This window comes from Homo sapiens, chromosome 3 (assembly GCF_000001405.40).
Source record: "Homo sapiens chromosome 3, GRCh38.p14 Primary Assembly".
Lineage (NCBI taxonomy): Eukaryota > Metazoa > Chordata > Mammalia > Primates > Hominidae > Homo > Homo sapiens.
Window position 1 is genome coordinate 36,394,304 of NC_000003.12, and position 23,342 is coordinate 36,417,645.

The 23,342-nt window shown below is 39.8% G+C and overlaps 1 protein-coding gene and 1 long non-coding RNA gene across 9 annotated transcripts in view, besides 1 other annotated feature; one reads left to right on the forward strand and one right to left on the reverse strand.

Moving 5' to 3' along the window:
• The window catches only part of LOC124906227 (uncharacterized), a 119,636-nt gene that overhangs the window by 59,562 nt on the left and 36,732 nt on the right, over window positions 1–23,342 (reverse strand). The window lies entirely within an intron of this gene.
• The window catches only part of STAC (SH3 and cysteine rich domain), a 167,504-nt gene that overhangs the window by 13,800 nt on the left and 130,362 nt on the right, over window positions 1–23,342 (forward strand). For 2 of the 8 annotated variants that reach the window (XR_940496.3, XM_047448767.1), the window contains exon 2: window positions 15,199–15,432. The exons of 5 other annotated variants lie outside the window; for them this stretch is intronic. Coding sequence is in view for 1 of the 3 variants with exons in the window: in XM_047448767.1 (XP_047304723.1) it covers window positions 15,310–15,432 (123 nt within the window). In the remaining 2 variants the exon portion in view is untranslated. Of the gene's footprint in view, window positions 1–15,198; window positions 15,433–23,342 lie in introns of those variants that run through there. One more of the 8 variants, XM_047448769.1, reaches the window with a different exon arrangement.
• Window positions 4,216–4,716: an enhancer, noted in NCBI's record as "H3K27ac hESC enhancer chr3:36440011-36440511 (GRCh37/hg19 assembly coordinates)". NCBI's record gives its function as "activates a minimal SCP1, AML or CMV promoter by ChIP-STARR-seq in naive H9 embryonic stem cells {active_cell/tissue: H9 hESC(naive)}" and the evidence as "EXISTENCE:reporter gene assay evidence [ECO:0000049][PMID:30033119]".

Here is a 23,342-nt window from a genome sequence, read left to right on the forward strand (position 1 = left end):
GATTAGAGAACATTTTCATGATTGCACAAGGTTCTAGTGTACAGTGCTGGCTTTGTCCTATGGACTTCATTGTCTGTGCTAAGGAATTTAGATTTTTATCCAAGTTTGAAAGAAAACCACTGGGGAAAGCCAGGGAGGAGGAGGATCTGGACAGTACATTACTCACATTTTACAAAGATTACTGTGGCTGCTGTATGCAGTGGGACTACAGCATAGCAAGAGTAAAAGTAAGGGGGCCAGTTAGAAAGCTATGGTAGTCCAGATTAGGGAGAATCTGGTAGCACATAGTGGACAATTTAAGAAGTGATATAGGCCCGGCACAGTGGCTCACACCTGTAATCCCAGCACTTTGGGAGGCTGAGGCATGTGGATCACCTGAAGTCAGGAGTTAGGGACCAGCCTGGCCAACATGGCAAAACTCTGTATCTACTAAAAATACAAAAATTAGCCGGGTGCGGTGGTGCACACCTGTAGTCCCAGCTACTCAGGAGGCTGAGGCAGGAGAATCGCTTGAACCTGGGAGGCGGAGGTTGCATGCCACTACACTCCGGCATGGGCAACAGAGTAAAATTCTGTCAAAAAAAAAAAAGGAATATATTTGCATTATATTTTAGAAATAAAATCAACAAGAGTTCCTATGAATGTATACTGTGAGGTGTGAGGGAGAGAGATAACTCAGGAATGACTTTTAAAAGGTTAATAGGAGAATCAAAAGATATATAGATATATATATATATATATCAAAATATTTTATGATCCAAGAAGCCCTGTGCAAATGTAAGTTGGTAGCAGTCACAGTAACCTTCAAAAAGATTGGATGTGAACTTAATCTTATGGATAACTTTGCAAAGATAGAAACAATGTAACTGACTTGACTGAAATTGCATACTGGGAAGAAACAGACAAGAAAGTTGAAGAGGTCAGATGAAGGTCTTGGAAACTGGGCACAGGGATTTAGATTTGAAAGGTGAGGATAAGAGAAGTCACTAAGGTTGTAATAGTGAAGTGAAAGATGGATTGGCATGGGGAGCACCTAAAGCCAGGGAGGTGAGTAGTCCAGTCTTTAAAAGATGACAGAGAGCAAATGAGAAGAAAGAGAAAAGAGCAGACATGAGAGGAATTTCGATGACAAGTAGAAGTGTCTGTTTCCTCCTCAGGGAGCCATCTTCACAGAGCCTGCACAAGAGGTGGAAGTTGGGATCAGGAGGTCCCTTATCTGGCTAGAGACTACTTGGTCAGAGTGAATGACCAGAATACATGAATAGAGATTCTAAGATCCGAGCCAGAAATGAGGAGACAAGGAAAATTCCAATGGTGGGGTGAGAACCAACAGAGCAAAAGGGGCTAATGTTAGCAGTTAGAAGATAAGAAGCAGGATGGAATGAGGTACAAACAAAGTCATCAAGAATTAAAAGTGTTAGTCTCACTGCTTATGGAAGCTCTTCTCTTCTATGTTGCTTGGTCCATGTAGGTTATCAGTCAACCTTCAGTCATAGGGACTGACTGTCAGTCCCAGTAATCTACATTTAAATCTCCTCATGTAGCAAGAAGATAGCAGCAAGGGCCAGAATCATCCAACAAGAAAACACATTGATTTTTGGCTTCTATAAGCATCTCTCCACAAAGTTTAAAAAAAAAAAACAAAGGTGAGAGTCAAGTAGAAAGACATTGGATTAGAATAATTTACTTCAGTCCTAGAGTCTTTCTGGTACATAATATTTACCTCTGCGATAGAGAAAACTCTCTGGTCATAGTTTTCATCATAGAAATTTATTTCCTCCTCCTCCAGTTAATCTTATTCTAAAAACACAATGGGAGCCCCACCCTGGAATTCAACAAGCTTAGAGATTTTCATATTGATTTCTTTTTTTATATTTTGTTTTAGCAGATATTGAACCAAAGTTTTATCAGGCAGAGTATACATGACTTAGATATACATATGAAAAATTAATTATAAATTGGATCTCTGTTTATTGAACAATATTTTTCTACTAGTTTCATTAAAAAATTTGAGATGAAGTTTCTTGGAAAAATAATATTATAAAAAATAATAAAAATCACAGGATACAAATGCAATAAATCTTTTACATCAGATTTATGGTTGAAAAATGCTAGGGATAATTTTCTGATAACACATTATTACTACTATACAAAGTTAGTCACTACTTTTTTCCAGAGTTCCATATTTTAGGGGAAATTAGTGCTTTCCATCTCACAGAAGTACAGGGATGCTTCATTGGAATGCTCAGGAAAGGAGTCATCCGGGAGAATCAAGCCATACTAATAATGGGGGGCAAGAAAATGTTCCAAGCATTTTTCCTGTTGATAATTTTGCTTGTAAATCTTTCTGGCTTACATTTCCCTGCTTTTAAAAGCAGAATATACCAAATGTAATTTCATTCCCATATAATAACAGCGTTGCAAATGCTTTGTAAATTTCAAAGCAATTTTATCGTTTTTATAATTTCCTTCTCCTAGTTACTCAGAATCACTCTTCTGAATGCCAGTTATTGAACTTATTATATGTAGGGTAGTTTTTTCCTCGCACTAATGACTCTATACTGCTGTTCTCTCCTAGTTCTTGTGTCTGATTCTTACATTTTACTATCTCCTCCCACACAGAGTCTATCCCTCTCTCTAGTCTACTCTAAGGCTTCTAATTTGCTTCTGCTAATTTGCGTTTGTAGTGGAAAATAAATCACCAAACTAGTTGGAGTTTTTTGTTCCTCAAAACAAAATGGACACTGAGCCTAATGGACTATCAGAAAAGTAAACACGGTTTTGTCTTTTAGTGTTTTGTGTTTTGTTTTTGTTTTTTATTTAGTGATTAATCTGGTAGTTCAGACTTTTTGTTTATATTTTCTGATTCTTGGTTATGTTTCCTATAAGTCTTTTTGTCAGATACTGAGTTCCTGATAGATTTGAAATTTCTTAACTCTTGTTTAGAAGACAAATCAATTAAGCTAAAGTTGCTGGTACTGACTTATTTAATTAATACATTTTTGCTGGTTGCTTAATGTGTTGATCAGTTTACTGGTCATTATTTTCGATGGATCTGACCTTCTAATTAACATTGAAGAAATAAATTCTCAAATATAAGATTTCATTATTGTAAATATCTGAGTGGATCTTTTTAAGCTGCCATATTGGGCACTATCTCTTCTATTCAGTTATATATACTGTAAGTGAAAATGATCAAAATAAATGTGTCATGAATATGTTGCATGAGACCAAAAAAATAGCAAAAGAAGAAAAATCCAGTTTACAAAAATAAAGCATACAGTTTATGCTTCTTCCCATGAATACAAGAAAGAACATGATGTAAAATCAAGAGGCCTCATGTCAGACCACCACTCAGACTACTGAAGCCTCCAAATTGTGCAGATATTTAATCATTGTGAAAAATCTTCCTTCCAGGAGGAATAACTTCAATCCACTTTGGATCACCCAAGTGCTCTTAGAATTTCAAGGATTTTATGAGCTTGTCTGAAAAAGCAATATAAGTTGTTTCATATGTTATTTCTTTGTTCGTTCTTGTGGTTAGGATTATTTTGGCAAAGTTTATTTCATAGATTGCCGATAGGATGACTTTTGCATGCAGCAGGCAGCAAAAAAAAAAAAACCTAAGCTCAATTTGTAATACATTATAGTGTTGATGATGGGAGATATTTAAAACTTGTGTCTGAGGAGCCAAGAGCAAAATGCCAAGCCATCTAGCTCCATGGCAGGATCTTTCCTGGCTCTCAATTGGACCTTCACTGGTAAGTTTGTCCATAGCCTGGTTGGACAGCTAAATGAAGAGCCTGAATCTAGCTCTCTGAGCCCGTGCATCTGGTTCCCAGACTCTGGGCAGCAGCTGTGAAACAGAAGGAAGCTCATGAAGAGAGCAGCAATTTGACCTCATCCCCTGATGGTCAGACTAAAATGTTACCTGCCAGTTTATGAGCTTTGTAGTAAGACTATTTTACTGCCATCTATGAAGGTATGTTAAAAAAGAAAGAAAGAAAGAAAGAAAGCAAGAAAGAAAGAAAGAAAGAAAGAAAGAAAGAAAGAAAGAAAGAAAGAAAAGAAAGAGAGAAAGAAAGAAAGAGAGGTAAAGAGAAAGAGAGAGGGAAGGAAGGAAGGAAGGAAGGAAGGAAGGAAGGAAGGAAGGAAGGAAGGAAGGAAGGAAGGAGGGAAGGAAGAAAGGAAGGAGGGAAGGAAGAGAAAAAGAAAGAGAGAGAAAGAAAGAAAGAGAGGTAAAGAGAAAGAGAGAGGGAAGGAAGGAAGGAAGGAAGGAAGGAAGGAAGGAAGGAAGAAAGGAAGGAGGGAAGGAAGAGAAAAAGAGAGAGAAAGAAAGAAAGAAAGAGAAAGAAAGGAAGGAAGGAAGGAAAGAAAGAAAGAAAGAAAAGAAAGAAAGAAAGAAAGAGAGAAAGAAAGAAAAGAGAGAAGGAAGGGAGGGAGGGAAGAAAACAGTCACCCATCAGATCATATCATCTGACTTGAAGGAGCCTCCTTCTGACATACAGGTTGCTGTTGCTGTGGAAGGTATTGAGTTCAGATTTTCTATCATCCCTTATTCCTCACCTCTAGTTGAGGTCTCTAAAAAGCAGAGCCTGAGGTTCAGAAGCATATAATTCATGGAAGGTGTGCTGTCAGGAGAAAACCCTAGGTAGGATACAGCAGGAGAGAGGGCTGAACAAGAATGTGGTCTCACGTGAAGTCTTACCTTGGCCTGACCCACATGGGGTACAGAGTGCACCAGAGTTGCCCCTCCCTTAAGGAAATATGGCAGGACTTTTTTTTTAACTTTGTGTCAGCTAGTCTTTGGCTCTAGAAATGGAAGAGGGAGGGGAGTACAATCTCCCAAAGGGGACAGTTCCCATTAGTTGAGGGTGATTCTCTAAAGGAAGAGAGATCTGCCTGCCAAAGCCACTGGGAGACAGGGCAAGGGCCCCAACAGGGAGGGTCTGGATTGGGCACCCACAGCACCCTCTACAGTGGGTTCCTGTCTGTGCCTCTTTAGCCAGAGCAGTCGTTTCCCTTTTCCATGCTCCAATATTCGGAATTTTATTACAATTTTTGCTTCAAAAGAAGAGTGCTGCATTTGACAATGGGTTGATAGACACCTGACATAAGTCTATAAGGGCTTTTGGCCCTAGGAACTGGGTGGTTACCCCTAGCACGACACTGAGTAACATAGCAGAAAGTGTGAACTATAGATTTTCAGGGAGGGTGTTTCCTCTCAGAAAACACCATTTGGAGGGGAGGGATAGCACTTGGCAAGATTTCATTTGGCCAATTTAAAGTGCTGAGTGATGGAGGACAGGTGGCCCAGCTGCCCTGCTCTCCTAAGACAGCCTTAGTGATCTTGTCCCCTCATATGGCCATCCTTCAATCTAAAATAACTCAATTTATTAAAAAACCATGGCTCTAGGGTAACTTACTCGAGAATCTTGGAAAAATTTCAATTAAATTGACTCATATACATTCAGTTTTTTAAAATGGTCTCCCAACTGACACTGAAGTCATAGATAAATCAAAGCCCAGATCTGGAGTCAACCTGGATTGTGCCTCAAGGTTAAGCCAGCTTTGACCAGCCACTGCTAATTCTACGACTTAGGCAGCCCCAGGCAAAATGGAGGCACTCATGTGCAAGTGCTTTGGAAAACACTGAAGGAAATTAATAAATGGAAAGAAAGGATTAAAGTACTTAAAAGGGGGTGGGTTGATGCCCCGGTCGAAAGAGGTACAAGCAGTAAAGTAATAGTGAGTGACCTGTGGAAGCTTTCCTGCTCAAGACCCAGCACTAAACACTTTGCTTTCAATGTCTCATCCCCTGCGAGTTTCTCAGTTTCACACAGGATAAGTAGTTCGTTGTCAAATTCAGGTCACCTGACTCCCAAACCTGGGCTACTATGTTTCAGATTCAGATAGATAATAGAGAGATAAATGGATAGATACAGAGATAGAAATATATAAATAGACACACAGCACTTGCTGCTCAGCTACTGTCAAATGGTCATTTGTCCACGTGTTATATAACTATTCGAGAGCCTTAATGGAGCATTCTGAATCTCATTTCACTGAAAATATAATGTAAAGGAACATTTGAAATCATCACAGATAACCCCATGATTTTAGGGTTGAGGGAACTGAGGCTCACAGAGCTTGAATTATTCTCGCAATAACACACACATACTACAAGCAAAATCCACAAGACAGAATATTTAGACCTATACGCTGGGTTGGGACATTCTATAATGACCTTCAAGAATGTTATAGAGCAGTTGGCTGCAAACTGAAGTGCATCAGAATCACCTAGAGGGCCAATTGAAACACAGATTATTGGACTTCATCCCCAGAGTTTCTGATCTGGTAGGTACTGGGAGAGAGCTGAGATTTTGCAGTTCTGACAAGTTTCTGCTGATGCTCGTGCTAGTAATACAGAGACCAGACTTTGAGCACCACTGCCATAGAAGTAAATACCTACTCTGAGTGCCTGTGATATCCATCCTATTTGTTTATTGCTTTGACCATAATTACGTGCAAGTGTTCTCTTGACCCAGGCTTGTCTGTAGATATTCCCTTCATATGAAAGGGCTCCGATTATAGCCTCTGTCACTCCATGGATGGCCAGAATTAATTCATGTAGCAAGGAGGAAAGTGCCAGGACCATAATGGGTTAGTCCAACCTTTCATACACCATCCCTTCTTCCCCAGCTGTGGACTTGGTTAAAGAAGGCAAAGGATGTCGGCTTCATATGGCTGAGATTAGCTCACTGAAACCTCCCTATAATGTTTTGTGTTTATTTTGAAACTACTCAGGAGTCAAGCCTCTAAAAATGTACCTATGTTTACATTTTGGAGTCACTTTTTGTGGAAAAGAGTCTCCATTCCTTCTGGAAATAAAGGAACAGATGGTCAGCCAGGTCATGAAAGAGGCAAAGGGAACCTCCCAGCTATGCATTTCCTTGGCAGGGATTTCACATTGAAGGACACACTCTTGTTCATCCACAGCATGAGCCTGCCTTTTCCAGTATATTCTTAGAGGGTTTCTTATGCTCAGTAAAATGCTCATTCTTTTAAAAGTCATTAACAAAAAGGCAATGAGTTGCTTTATTTCCAAAACCTTGCAGAAAGCTACCTTAAGGACCTCGATAGAAAATAACCAGTGTGTCAAATTGGAACTATAGTTAGAAATGCTGCAGGGAACCCAAGGAAGCCCGCACTGGCTGCTTTAGGAACTTGGGTAGAAATCACACTGGAAGAGCTGCAGCCATAGACAGGATTCCCCAGCTGCTGTCCTTGGGCACCTGGGAACCTGCTTCCTCCCTGTCTACTAGCAAGACAGAAATATGAATTGTTTAATGAATTGAATCACAGAAGGCAGAGCCAGATATATAATTTGCGGGGCCCAGTGCAAAGGGAAATCGGAGCTCCTTGCTCAAACATTTTGAAGAAATTCAAGACAGCAATAGCAAAAAGCACTAAACCAAACTTGGGGTCCATCTAAGTGCTGGGCCCCATGTACCCACACACAGATCTCATCCACGAAGCAGGTCTGCAGCATGATCATCATGGCACAGTTTGGCAGAACAAGAGAAAGGGAAGGGGAAAGGGGATGGACATTTCACTTGGACTTGCTGTGCAAGGTGATTTAGGTACATCATTTTATTTAGTCTCATTTCACAGATGACAAAACTATAGAGGTGGAGGCTGAGAAAAGTAAAGCCGCTTGCCCATGGTCACATGCCTGATATGTCTACACTGAGATTCATTTCTGACTCTAAGTCCCTGTTTGTTTGTTTGTTTGTTTTTGTTTTAAACTTTTCCACATTCATATTCCTGAAGCAGTATTGGCTTGTAGGAAAAGCTCTTACATATGTTTTTAACTTCTATTCCCTACAAAGCCAAAGAAAGAGTGAATAATGTAATGAATAAGATAATTAGAAAATGGTCCAAATCCTGGTATAATGATAATAATAAAAGTAGAAACAAGACATGGAGGGGAAGAAGAAGGAAGGAAGGGAAAAGGGAAGGGAAGAGCGAGGAAGAAGATGGGGAGAAAGAGGGCGGTGAGGAAGAAGGAAGGTGAGCATGTGCTGGACAGTTACTACATACGATCTTGTATGCATTATTCTGTTTAATCATCACAACAACCCTCTCAAAGAAGCCTTGGTTTTGTGCCCACTCTACAGATGCAGAGCTAGAAGCTTACAGCACTTAGTTAACTTGCTCAATGCTAAAGGCTCAAGATTTCTGTCTAAACAACATCTAACATTAGCCTAGGAAGTCACCCAAAATGGATTTAAGGGCTAGGCAAGGGAACAGAGTCCAAGATAATTCTAGACTTCAAAAGTTGTAAACTGCAAGAAAATAATAATAATAAACAGAAGGCAGCTCTATACAGGAATAATAAGAAGGAGTATAAATGAAAACATTCAAATTCCAGAGTAAAAGCCTCCATACATTGGCATTTGTGGGAGTCTCCATCCTGCCTGCTTGATCCCACCCACGTATCCTAAAGCAAAGTTGGCCTGTCCGTCTTCCCACCTCAGATGGATTCAGGGGAATTATCTACTCAGAGTCTTATCTGCAGAGGAAACTCATTCTAGCTACCCATATGATCAAGCTAGTTATTCACCCTTAAATATGAACAGACAACTAAAGCATAAACCAAAAGGACCACTGTGCACAAACCAAACAGCTAACCCAGAGAAATAAGACGTAACACAAGGATTATGGCTAGCCTTGAAAACTTTCTAATTGATATCTTCAGAGAGATTCAAGAAGTATTGTGACCATTTCAAAGGAACTGTTTTTTATTTCTTTTAAAAAGGTACAATCAATGCCTAGGAATGAATTTTTTGGAAAAATCAGATTTCTGTCTAATTTTTTTGTCAGTTACAATAAGTAATTTAAAAACAATCAATGCAAGGCCTGAAAAATAGAATGAACAATTCTGAAGACTGAATCAGATAAATGAAAGATAAAGTTGGAAAATCTCCCAATACATAGAACAAACGACAGATAATTAATAAAAGAAAGGTCTTGAAATATTGAAAGTTGACACAGGTCAACCAGTCAGTCATCTCCACTGGGAAAAAAACAGTTTGTTTTTTTTTAATTCTCAATTTTCTTCTATTTTTATTTTTAATTATCTCTTCACCTCCATTTTAGTGGAAAATTTTTTAATAGAAAAAAATTTTAAAAATTCAGTAGAAAAAAAGTTATATGTTCAAATTGAAAGGACTCAATAAGGAATGAGCAATGAAAGTAAAATAGAAGTGCCACACAGTAAAAGCAAAAAATGTAAAAATGATATGTGAAAAAATGAAAAATAAAATGGAAAGAATTCTGCATACACAATTAGTAAAATCATGTGACATTTATAAACTACAAAAATAGATAAAATCCTTAATATTTCCAGAAATTAAGAAACAGGTGACCTTATCATGATGAAACTCAGAGGGGCATCAAACTGAGAGTAAAAGTCAAGGGTGCCATGGTTTCAGATTCTGAGCAGAAAGTCTATTCATTCTGGAATCTGGAATCCAATACTGAGTCATTTGAATGACTCTGAAAAAAACAAGTCATCAACATGTCTCCCAAAAGAGCATAGATAGAAATTAAATCCTGGATAAAGCACTAACAAAGCAATTTTGCACAGTGACTCTGACTTGAAAGGTATTTTATATTTTATCTTGTAACACAACTCTGTATGCTACAAGCTCAAAATACAAAACACAAATTCCATTAAATTCCTTTACACCAACAATACCTATGACACACCTATGAATATCTCTAACAAGAAATATGTAGGTCCTATGTGAAAAAACATGCAAGCATTATGGAAAAACAAATAAGGAGATCTAAACAAATGGAAAAACATGACATTTAGATGAGAAGACTCAATATTGTAAAGATGTCAATCACCCTAAATAAATATGTAAGCTCAAGTTGATTCCAATCATATACCAACAAGTCTTTTTTAAAATGCAAATTGACAAATTCAGTCTACCATTCTTCTGAGGAAATTAATGGCAGATTACTTAAACTTTCTAAGGCACATTCTCTTCCCGTGTAGTATTGGGATCATAATGAAACCTATTTCAAAGGGTAATTGTGAGAATTAAATGAGATAATACATGCAAAGCACTTAGCACAATTACCAGCTGATAATAGCACCCACAAATCTTAGTTTACATCATATTATGCTCATGTATATAAATACTCATATGTATGATAATGTTCATGCAGCAGTATTTATAACAGCAAAAATTAGTAAGGCCTCAAATTTCTATCAGTATCATAATTATAATGATTAAGTACAATATACTATATCCCACAGCATGGAAAAATATTATTAAAATTTGTTATGAATATGCCTATAATCTGACATGAACAAAGAAAGTCACAAAACAACATGTGTACACATTCATGTAAAAAATATATAAAAATTGGTAAATAGATGATAGATGTTTTTAAATAAAAGTAAATATATGTTAGTAAGTTCACAGAAATGTTTCTGGAATTATACGCACCAAACTGTTACCAATTGTTTGTGTATAGAATACAAAGATTGATGATATTATAAATTATATAATATACAGCTATTATATATTCTTTATTATAAATGCATCTATTAGGTTGGTGCAAAAGTAATTGTAGTTTTTGTCATCACTTTAAATGGCAAAACCACATTACTTTTGTGCCATCCTAATATATTATCTGAAAAATTTAAAATATCATACGATTCTTGTTTACTTTAAAACTATGAAATAGGAAAGGACAGTGTTTTCAGGTTGTAGTTGAGCTTCAGGAGATCCCTGTGCCAGCAGGGTCGCCCTCAATGAAGAAGGAGGCTTGCACCAAGCTGCTGGCCTCACCTTGGGGCCACCCATGCTTAAACCCGAATGCAAACCCCTCAGCCACCAATTCTCTCTTCAGCTTTATCTCCATTCCTACCTGAGCTTGCTACCCCTGACTTACTGTGCCACACTCCCCAAGTGTTCCAACCCTCCACCATGTGCTCTGAAACCTTGAGCTGTGATAATCATGCTCCCTTGTATTATGAGGGTGTTCACAGCTTCTCTGTCTGATGAGTCACTGAGGCCAGGAGTTCCCGAAGACACACAGCTTCCTGCAGCCCTCCCCAGTGAAAGCTTCTCCCAGCACTGTACCTCCAATTTTATGGTAGGAAGGTGGAGAAGGATCTCCTTCATCATCTAGGGCTGTCGCTTGGCAGTTACTCCATCCCCAGATACACAACTGATCGCTATTTAAAGACCCTGCATGATCTAACCCTTGCCTCCCCGTCAGCTCCATATATGATATAGCTAAATCCCCAGCCACACATGACAGTTCAGCAACTGTGAACTACTGAATCCATCATGTGTTTCTTGCTTCCATTTCTTTGCCCTTCTAACCAGATCTCTTCTTTCTTCTTTTAGAGACAAGAGTTTTGCTCTGTCATCCAGGTTGGAGTGCAGTAACATGATTATAGCGCACTGCAGCCTCCAAATGCCTGGGCTCAAGCAATTACTGCTTCAGCCTCCCAAGTAGCTGGGACTACAGGCGCATGCCACCATGCCCGACTGCTTTTTAGTTTTTATTTTGTAGAGATGGGGTCTCACTTTGTTGCCCAGGATGGTCTTGAACTCCTGGATTCAAGCAATTCTCATGCCTCAGCCTCCCAAAGTTCTGGGATTATACGCATGAGCCACAACAACTAGCAGATCTCTTCCTTCTGACCAGAAGACTGTTTCGTATTTCCCCTACTTCTTGCCCCCTCTATTAGCATGGTCCCAGTAGTGCTTTAAGACACAACTTTGATCAGGAAACCTTTCTCTTCAACCCTCAGCCCCCTCCCCACCCAGCAGCCTGGGTTAAATGGCCTGCTTAGGTCTGCTTCGCTGCACAGACTCTGAGATGGAGAATCACATGCAGGTAGTTTCTGAGAGGCACTTTTGGGAACAGGCCCTGGAAGACACCAGGGAAAGTGAGAATGGGCTAAGGGAGATGTTAAACTGCAGTGCAGTTACAGCAAAGGCCTTGGTCTATTGCATGAGGAGCTCTGAAGCTGGAGTGGTCCATCAGAGTTGTTCCAAATTGGCAAAAGAGCATGGGGCCTATACTCTCACATCTACCAGCTGTGCCTCCAAGGAAAGGACATGGTCTTGATTGAGGCTGCCCCATTCACTGCGAACCTGCAGCCAACAATGCTTCAACAGCAAGGGAATAAGGCTGGTGATCTGGGCTGTGCACCACAGCTCCCGCTGCGTGACCGTTCTCTGCACTTACCAGCATGTGTTATAATGTGTCAGTCTTCCCTCTAGACCAGAGCTGAGCAAGCTACAGTCTGCAGGAGAAATCCAGCCCACTGCCTGTTTTGTAAATAAACTTTCATTGAAACACAGCCATGTTCATTCATTCACACATTGTTTATGGTTATTTTCATATTATAATGCAGAGTTGAGTAGTAGTGACAGACTATGTTGACCTGAAAGCCTGAAACAGTTACTGGCTAGCACTTTACAGAAAAAGTTTACCAACTCCTGCTCTATTATCTTACACAATATTCACTATTGCCTGGAAATTAAGTTTTAGAGGAATAATCAATGAATTAATGTATGGATGAATGAATCACATGGACTTGGGTTTCATTCTTGGCTCTGCCACTCAAAAGGTATGATCTTGGGCAAATGGATTAACCGCTCTAAATTCACGTTCCTCATCAACAAAATGAGACCTATTACTTCCTTTCTAGGGTTGTAGTAAACATTAAATGGAAAAGCGTATGTAGACTAATAGCACATTACCTGGCACATACTATATGTTCACTTAAGTGGGAGCCAGTAGGTCTATTCAAAAAGTTATGTTTTACTTTAAGGCTGAAAAAGGCTGAATTATGTCCGTCTTCCCTTTATGAGTAGGCCAGATGTTAGTAGTGCTTGTCTTATCAAAACAAAACAAGAAACAAACAAACCAAAAAAAAATAGATAAACCTTTAGCACCTGCCAGAAACACAAGGCCTTTCCTGCTGCGTAAATATGACAGACAATCCTGGTGGATCTCAGAGGTATCATGCTTTATATTTCTGGCCCAGATCCTAATTAATTGGTAGAAGCCAGATCCCATAAATGAGAAGTGCCAAAATTTAAGGATGATGACTAATTTGTCATAGCCATTCAGAATTCCATTTCATTAGCAGGTAGAGCCATGCTTTGGGCCAGCCCCAGAAGATTGTCTCCAAAGCAAGATTTCCAGAGGCACCAGTCACTGCACATTTGATGGGGCTTTTAATGCTTTTATATGAGCCACTTTGTTAATGACATTGTATTTAGCTAAGGTAACACTAGACGCTATTAACCTCCAAAGTTCAGTGGTTTAGCACAAAGAAGAAGTTTATTTCTCATTCATCCAACAGTCCAAAGTGGGTGTATTAATTTTCTATTGCCATATAACAAAAACACCACCAATTTAGCAGCTTAAAGCAACACAAAGTTGTTATCTCACAGTTTTTGTTTGTTACAAGTCTGGGTATAGGTTAGCTGGATTCTCCCTTAGTATCTTATGAGGTGGGAATTGAGGTGTCAGGATTTCAATCTCATCTGAGGCTTGGAGTCCTCTTCCAAGTTCACTGCTTGTTGGAAGAATTCACTTCCTTGCAGCTGTATGTCTGAGGTCCCAGTTTTCATGTTAACCACAGTCCAGGAATGTGCTCAGTAACTAGAGGCCACTGTAGGCCCTTGCCACATGGCCCCCCTCCTCTCACAACCTAGAAGCTTACTTCTTCAAGGACAACAGGATAGTCTCACTCCAGTCAGCCAGGGTGGACTCTTGTATACAATAACAACGTAGCAATCATCACAGTGACTATCCCATCACTTTTCCCATACGATGTAAGCTAATCAAGGGAGTTACTATCCCATCCTCTCCATAGGCCCTGCCCACACTTTAGGGGAGGGGACTATGTACTCCTGCTCCCTTAAGTCTTTGTTGTCTTCTTCCTCCTCTTCTTATACCCTTCTTTCTGCTCATCTCCTCCTACTCCTACCACTAGCCCAGTTATTGTCATTCTCCACCAGGGGTCTCTGTATGTTTAGGAGACCCTATTGTTTGCCTACCCCAAAGCCACTTATTCCTCTTTTTCCTTTCTAATAAAATGCTAGTATTGCTCTGATATCCACTCTACTCCATATTACCATATTCTCAGTCCAAACATCAAAGATGCAAATCCTGATTGGTTTAAGCAATCATGGTTGTTACAATTCTGGCCGATGAGACCTGAAGGAAATCTAATGGTGAGGCTCCTGGAAAAGGTTTTCTAGACTGATTAGAACACATACAAGAGAAAATGCCATCATTCTTCTGCTTCTGAATAGTTGCAAACAGGCAGCCATTGTTTGACCATGAGAGAAGCCAGATTTAAGGCTGGAATGAGGAAGGCAAAGTAAAAGAATGGAGAGAACCTGAGTCCTTAGTGATGTCATTCTGCTGCTGAACTAACTGTCCCTAGAGTCTCTCTGCATTAAGACCTCTTGTTGTATCAAACAATATTGTTTAGACCAGGTTGAAACTTGGTTTCATATACCTCCAGTTGTAAACACCTAAATGATTGGGTGGATGGTGTATCAATTTTTAATTGTGATACCCTCCACAGAGCACAGCAAAATTATGCAAAATATTGTGGTACCCTTACTTCACATAATATAGTGGGAAACATTAATGATGATGATGATAATGATAACACCAGCAACAAAGTAGACAGAAGCTGCCTCTGGTAAAGGATTGAAGTCAAGGTCACAAACATGAAATTTGCAAAATCAATTGCCCCTGATTTTCCTGAACAGCATCTAGAAGTATATAAACGTGGGTTTGACATATTTTCTATAGTCTTCCAGATTTAGCATTATCCAGTTTGAAAACACAGAGTAAGTGTGCCAGTGACAGACTTGAGAGAAGCTGTTAATGAGTTGATATTAAAAGCTTGATTGAATGCCCCTTTCCAATCCAAATCAGTGGAGCAGAGTAGTCCAAATCAGAATTTTGTTGATTTATGCTTAACAAGGTTGTAAGGAGGTAAATAGAATTCATGCTCAGGCTCCATTAGCATTGGGTCAACAGTCGATATTCCCAATATAAAAATGCATTCTCAGTGAGGTTTGCTTGTTTTCGTTGTTGTTTTATTTTTGCCATAACCATGCATCCCAGCCCTATGGATGACGTGAACTGAGTGGTTCTTGACCCAGAAAACCAAATGAACTCTTGAGGAATCATGTCCATCAAAAGTTTAGTTGGCCTGTAGTGCTGAGAGCAACACAAATGATTCTGCACAGTGACACTGACTTGAAGATATCTTGTATCCACTCCATCCATCCACGTGCATCTTGGGGAAAAATAGAGGAGGCAAGTCATGCATTAAATTATCAAGGTAATATATTTCAGGTAAGTGGCTCCATAAAGCCAAACAGAATGAACATTCTACTGGCAGTGTCTAGAGAAATCCGTCAGCCTTATATTTCTATTTATGTAAATCCAATAAACAGATGAGGGAAAGCTAGGGCATTTTGCAGACCTTGAGAGGAGATTTGTTCATGTTCATCAAGTCATATTGCTTGGAATAGGTTAGCAGTAGGTCTCTACAAGAATGGAGTTTTTATTTTCTTTTAAAGGTGTATGGAAATGAGAATCTAAGCCAAAGATCATCTGGAGTGGCCTATTTTTAGAGAAAGTGATTTGCTGAATTTGTCATTCATCCCACTGTGAGCCATGGCAGGCATCAGTAGTAACAGCCAGCTCTTACAAGAAAAATCTTTCCATTCTTGAAAAGCATTAAAAAGAAATGTTATCATTACAAAGGCAGGTGAGACAGGAAGTGAGGGAATAAGAAAATGTAACGCATTTTCTGTGTATTTGTGTACATATTACTATATATATAGATTTACTAGTGTGTGTTCGCCTGCTCATATGCTTATCAGTGCACGAGTGTTAAGTTATGTGTTTCGTGGGTATGTGTGTCTATATCCCATGCTCTGTGAATGTAAGTAATAATAGCTAACTAATGTTTATTGGGTTGATACTGTGCCTAGACTCTGTGCTAAGAGCTTTATGAGGATTCTTTCTTTAAATTATCTCAACAGCCTACGTTTTCCATTCAACAAAGAGGCTAATAGAACTATTAGAATCAGAACCAAAATTTGGATCCCAGCAGCTTGACCATTTTGGGCAAACAGCTCCCCAGGGCCCACTGCCATTGATCAGGTTGCCGTGCTACATGCTGACTGTATTTATATGCGTGTTTGGATATTTTCTGTTTGTTTTGGAGAAAAGCTTAAAGGATATCCGTTCTTTTTGCTGTCTATATTAAATAAGTACATTTACTCAGGCTGAGACAATTAACCAAACACACACACCCATATTCTTGGTAACATATTGATGTATTCAGCAGCAAATTGAAATTGAAAAACTAACATCTGAGGGTGTTTGTAATTCCTGATTGATCTTTGTCTTTATCTTCAAATATTATATGTCTCATAATCCACTTAGTTCAATCTGGTGCCTTGCCATCTGGCCTCTGGCTCATACAATCAGTTTGTGTGATGTTTGGGACTATACATTTACGGGATTTGAACTCTCTTTATACCAGATCTTCACATGGATGTCTAATAGTCAACACAAAGTTAACCCATAAAAAGCAACTGCCCAATATCTATCCCCTTCATGTATCAGACATGCTTCTTCACACTGTCTATCATCTAAGTAAATGGCCACTCCCTCCAATGGCAACTATAGAAACCAAAAAACCTGGACTCATCCTTGGCTACTCTCTTTTCCTCAAACCCCACATCCAACCCACTAAGAAATCCTGTAGACTACAACTTCAAAATATTTCCAGAACATACCACTTCTTACCATGTCCACTGCCATACCCCTGGCCTAAGCCATCTTCTGTCTATAGAAATGCTGGTTCTTTCTATAAGTCATAAGTCAGTACAAATCTTTTTAATAGTCAGGTCTCTTAGAGTCAAGTAATGATGTTCTATAACACTGAGAATAAATCTAGAGTCCTTATCAAGAATCTGCATATGTAACTTTATCTGTATCTTCTGCCTCCTCCTCTCCCTCTCCTAGTCTGCTCCAGTCATTGAAGCTCAACTCCTTGATGTTCCTCAAACACACAGAATATATTTGCATCTCAGCTTGAGAAAATGACCAGGATCAAAGAGTGCTGGTGGGAGAAGTTCCAAACTGACTCTTAAAAGAAGTGCTCAGGAAAGGCAGGGAGTATTTTGCCAACAAATTGCACCATAGGAATTAAGACCATAGCATCTAAGCCCAGGAGAGACTGTTCTTCCATGATGAGGTCTTCAAGAGACAATGATGAGAGGTCCCCAGGTTGTAGGTCCCCTAATGGAGATTAGACCAAGGGTTGTAGGCTGTGAAGGCAGCACATATGTCCTGTCATGAGACAATATGAGTGGGTCACGAGCATGGCTTTTGAGGTCTTAGGAAACCTAAATTCCTGACTCCACCACTTCCTATCAGCATGTAACTGGGGGCAGTCACTTGGCCTTTCTGAGTCTCAGTCTCCTGATATTTCAAAATTTTGCAGATTTAACTTCTCACAATAATATTTTGGATTTATCAAAAATCTACATATGCCCATGGGAGTATAGCATATATGTGCTATACCAGTTAAATATATTAACTGTACAAGTTAAAGATAATTTTGACTAAAAGTAACAGACAGAAAAACCTAACTTACAATAATTTAAGCAAATATGGGTCTGTTTTTCTTACATAGCAAGAAGTCTGGAGGTGGGAAGTGGCTGTCTTAGTTCAACTACTCAGCAAAGTCATGAAGATCTTCCTTTGCTCAGCCACCTTGTCTGGTTGGTTTATGTACTCTTGCTTATTGCATTGAAATGGCAGGAGGGCTGCTGTAGCTTTTGACATTACGCCTATGTTCTGGACAAGAAGGAAAGAAAGAAAGGGAGGGACAATCATGTTCTCTCTTTTATTAGGAAAGCAAAACTCTCGAGAAATCTACATTGGATGTACATTTCATTGGCCAAAACTGTCACATGGCCATTTCTAGCTGTAAGGAAAGCTGGATACATTGCTGTTCCAAGAAAAATAGAGGTTTTTTTTTTAAAGGGAAAGAGAAGTAGGAATTGGAAATTGGGTATACAACTAAAAGAGTCTGCAGTGGGAGGAAAGAAAGCCTTTCGGGGGAAAAAAAGACTGAGAACTGCTTTAAGAAACATACAAAGTGCCAAAGATATTCTTCTACATTGTCATTTGTCAGTTTTATTCTTTCACATTTAGATTTTTAATTCAACTGTAAATTTCTGTGTGGCATGAAGAGACAAAGGAATCCAATTATCCTAAACCATTCTTATACTCACAAAATTCTACACACACTCACTCACCTGTTTCAGGGCTCTATGTTTGATTCAATTCCATTGATATATATGGTTTTACCTAAAATATTACGTATTTTTTTAATTCCTATGGTTTTGCAGTATGTCTTAAAATCTGGTTGGGATATCACTATCTTTGCTCCTCTTTCTAAATAGACTTAATCCAATCTACAAGGAATTTACAAATTTGGGGTGGTGAGGCATACATTTCGTTATGTACCCAGTAGTCATTCAGGAGCAGGTTGTTCAGTTTCCATGTAGTTGAGCAGTTTTGAGTGAGTTTCTTAATCCTGAGTTCTAGTTTGATTGCACTGTGGTCTGAGAGACAGTTTGTTATAATTTCTGTTCTTTTACATTTGCTGAGGAGTGCTTTACTTCCAACTATGTGGTCAATTTTGGAATAGGTGCAGTGTGGTGCTGAGACGAATGTATATTCTGTTGATTTGGGGTGGACGGTTCTATAGATGTCTATTAGGTCCACTTGGTGCAGAGCTGAGTTCAATTCCTGGATATCCTTGTTAACTTTCTGTCTCATTGATCTGTCTAATGTTGACAGTGAGGTGTTAAGTCTCCCATTATTATTGTGTGGGAGTCTAGGTCTCTTTGTAGGTCTCTAAGGACTTACTTTATGAATCTGGGTGTTCCTGTATTGGGTGCATATATATTTAGGATAGTTAGCTCTTGCTGTTGAATTGATCCCTTTACCATTATGTAATGGCCTTCTTTGTCTCTTTTGATCTTTGTTGGTTTAAAGTCTGTTTTATCAGAGACTAGGATTACAACCCCTGCTTTTTTTTGTTTTCCATTTGCTTGGTAGATCTTCCTGCATCCTTTTATTTTGAGCCTATGTATGTCTCTGCATGTGAGATGGGTTTCCCGAATACAGCACACTGATGGGTCTTGACTCTTTATCCAATTTGCCAGTCTGTGTCTTTTAATTGGAGCATTTAGCCCATTTACATTTAAGGTTAATATTGTTATGTGTGAATTTGATCCTGTCATTATGATGTTAGCTGGTTATTTTGCTCATTAGTTGATGCAGTTTCTTCCTAGCATCAATAGTCTTTACAATTTGGCATGCTTTTGCAGTGGCTGGTACCAGTTGCTCCTTTCCATGTTTAATGCTTCCTTCAGGAGCTCTTTTAGGGCAGGGCTGGTGGTGACAAAATCTCTCAGCATTTGCTTGTCTGTAAAGGATTTTATTTCTTTTTCACTTATGAAGCTTAGTTTGACTGGATATGAAATTCTGGGTTGAAAATTCTTTTCTTTAAGAATGTTGAATATTGGCCCCCACTCTCTTCTGGCTTGTAGAGTTTCTGCCAGGAGATCAGCTGTTAGTCTGATGGGCTACCCTTTGTGGGTAACCCGACCTTTCTCTCTGGCTGCCCTTAACATTTTTTCCTTCATTTCAACTTTGGTAAATCTGACAATTATGTGTCTTGGAGTTTCTCTTCTCAAGGAGTATCTTTGTGGCATTCTCTGTATTTCCTGAATTTGAATGTTGACCTGCCTTGCTAGGTTGGGGAAGTTCTCCTGGATAATATCCTGCAGAGTGTTTTCCAACTGGGTTCAATTCTCCCCATCACTTTCAGGTACACCAATCAGACGTAGATTTGGTCTTTTCACATAGTCCCATATTTCTCGGAGGATTTGTTTGTTTCTTTTTATTCTTTTTTCTCTAAACTTATCTTCTCGCTTCATTTCATTCATTTGATCTTCCATCACTGATACCCTTTCTTCCAGTTGATCGAATGGGCTACTGAAGCTTGTGCATGCATCACGTAGTTCTCGTGCCATGGTTTTCAGCTCCATCAGGTCCTTTAAGGACTCCTCTGCATTGGTTATTCTAGTTAGCCATTCATCTAATCTTTTTTCAAGGTTTTTAACTTCTTTGCGATGGGTTCGAACTTTCTCCTTTAGCTCGGAGAAGTTTGATCGTCTGAAGCCCTCTTCTCTCAACTCGTCATTCTCTGTCCAGCTTTGTTCTGTTGCTGGTAAGGAGCTGCGTTCCTTTGGAGGAGGAGAGGTGCTCTGATTTTTAGAATTTTCAGTTTTTCTGTTCTGTTTTTTCCCCATCTTTGTGGTTTTATCTACCTTTGGTCTTTGATGATGGTGACATACAGATGGGGCTTTGGAGTGGATGTCCTTTCTGTTTGTTAGTTTTCCTTTTAACACTCAGGACCCTCAGCTGCAGGTCTGTTGGAGTTTGCTAGAGGTCCACTCCAGACCCTGTTTGCCTAGGTATCAGCAGTGGAGGCTGCAGAACAGCGAATATTGCTGAACAGCAAATGTTGCTGTCTGATCATTCCTCTGGAGGTTTCATCTCACAGGGGTGCCCAGCCGTGTGAGGTGTCAGTCTGCCCCTACTGGGGAGTGCCTCCCAGATAGGCTACTCGGTGATCAGGGACCCACTTGAGGAGGCAGTCTGTCGGTTCTCGGATCTCAAGCTGCGTACTGGGAGAACCACTACTCTCTTCAAAGCTGTCAGACAGGGACATTTAAGTCTGCAGAGGTTTCTGCTGCCTTTTTTTCAGCTATGCCCTGCCCCCAGAGGTGGAGTCTACAGAGGCAGGCAGGCCTCCTTGAGCTGCGGTGGGCTCCACCCATTCCAGCTTCCCAGCCACTATGTTTACCTACTCAAGCCTCAGCAATGGCAGGCGCCCCTCCCCCAGCCTCGTTGCCACCTTGCAGTTCAATCTCAGACTGCTGTGCTAGCAATGAGCAAGGCTCCGTGGGCGTGGGATATAATCTCCTGGTGTGCTGTTTGCTAAGACCATTGGAAAAGCACAGTATTGGGGTGGGAGTGACCCAGTTTTCCAGGTGCCATCTGTCACAGCTTTGCTTGGCTATGAAAGGGAATTCCCTGACCCCCTGCTTCGGCTCACCGTTGGTGCACTGCACCCACTGTCCGGCACCCACTGTCTGACAAGCCCCAGTGAGAGGAACCCGGTACCTCAGTTGGAAATGCAGAAATCACCCATCTTCTGCGTCGCTCACGTTGGGAGCTGTAGATTGGAGCTGTTCCTATTTGGCCATCTTGGAACCGCCCTAGATATTTAACTCAACTGTAAATTTGTGTGTGACACAAGGAGAAGAAGGAATCCAATTTGTCCTAAACCATTCTGATATTCACAAAATTCTACATGCACTCACCCATCTGTTTCGGAGTTCTATGTTTACATTCAATTCCATTGATATATATGGTTGTATATGGTATTTTATAAATATCTATTTATTAAAAATAAGTATCATGTATTTTTAACATTCTTGTGGCTTTCTAGTATGTCTTAAAATCTAGTTGGGCTATTACTCTCTTTGCTCCTCTTTCTAAATAGGACGTTGGCTCTTTATTCTGGTTCCTTTATTCTGTAATATAATTTTTATTGCAGATGTTAATTTGTTCAGTATCCTTTGGGAATTACTTTTAATTTTTATAGTAACTTGGAAAGAATTGACTTACTAAAAATGTTAGTCAGGCCAAGCATGGTGGCTCATGCCTATAATCTTAGCTACTCTGGAAGCTGGTGTGGGAGGATCACTTGAGCCCAGGACTTCAAGACCAGCCTGGGAAACATAGTGAGACATGGTATCTCCAAAATTTTTCTTAAAATTAGCCAACCATGGTGGCACATGCCTGTAGTCCCAGCTACTTAGGAGGCTGAGGTGGGAGGATTGCTTGAGCCCATGAGTTTGAGGCTTCAGTGAGCCATGAGCTTGCCACTGCACTCTGGTATATCATTCATAAACATGGTATACCTTCCTATTATTCAGGTCTCTTTATATACACTTTAATAAAACATTTTAATCATCTGCACAAAGTTATCCTTGCTGCTATTCAGTCCTTCTCTTGGGCTCTTTATATCAAGTCTTGTATTTTTTATGCCCATCATCTCCAGTCGGTTCCCTGTGAAAGATTGCTTATTCTTGCATCATGCCTCTGACATTGCCCCTTAATTCTTTAGGATATGTATTATGCATATATTAAGTTTATATTCTATTCTGGCCCAATCATTGTCTTCTCTATGCCATGTTATTTTTTCCTGAGGGCTATATTCCCCTGGGAGTATTTGCTGCCTTGGCTGGTAATTTGTATGTGGTCAGGGAAGCAAAAGCACAAGCCATTGAGCATGTCCCTTGCTCTTATTTGAGGAGTGAGTAATGCACCAAAGAGCAGGCTTCCTCTGGTACTGTTACCTGGATTCAACCACTCCCTGTTTATAACCCCCATCACCCAACCAAGTAATGCTGCTTTTCAGGAAACTTCCCTGCATTTTCACATTAGGCACTTTTTTTTGGCCAGGGAGAACTTTGGGGCAGGTCTTTGGCCTACTCCTGATATATCTGCCCCCCATGGCACCAGGCATCCAAAGATTCTCTGCGGCCCCACAGCCTCCAGTGTGCCCCAAACTGGCATTGCTGCATAAATGCTCTGCATGGACAAGAGTGTAGGAGGCAATGAACTTCCTAAAGCCATGTAGGAGAGGGAAGGGCCCTCCTTAAAACATGATACCCTGTGTATGCCATGGTGCTCAGCTCTCTTCTAAGTTTAAGATGTTTTTCCCATATAAATGGAACCCAAAGGCCTAGTAGTGTCTCTCTTTTCCTGTGTCCTTGGAGCCTTCAACCTTCTTCCTGTCTATGTAGCACATCCAGGAATGGATTCAGGGGAATCAGCATAGTTTATGTTCACTCTTCTTACAGTCCAGTGTACTTATACACACACAAACACTCACACAAACACACACACACGTATATAAATTTTTCTATTGTTTGCTTTACGGTTTACAGCCAGAGTTCTCAGAACAATGTAAATAATAGTCTTTGTTCCTAGAATAAACCCTATTTGACCACAGAATATAATTGAAAAACATATTTATTTGGTTTCCTAGTATTTTACTTAAAGTTTCTCTTTGTATTTAGAAAGGAAATTGG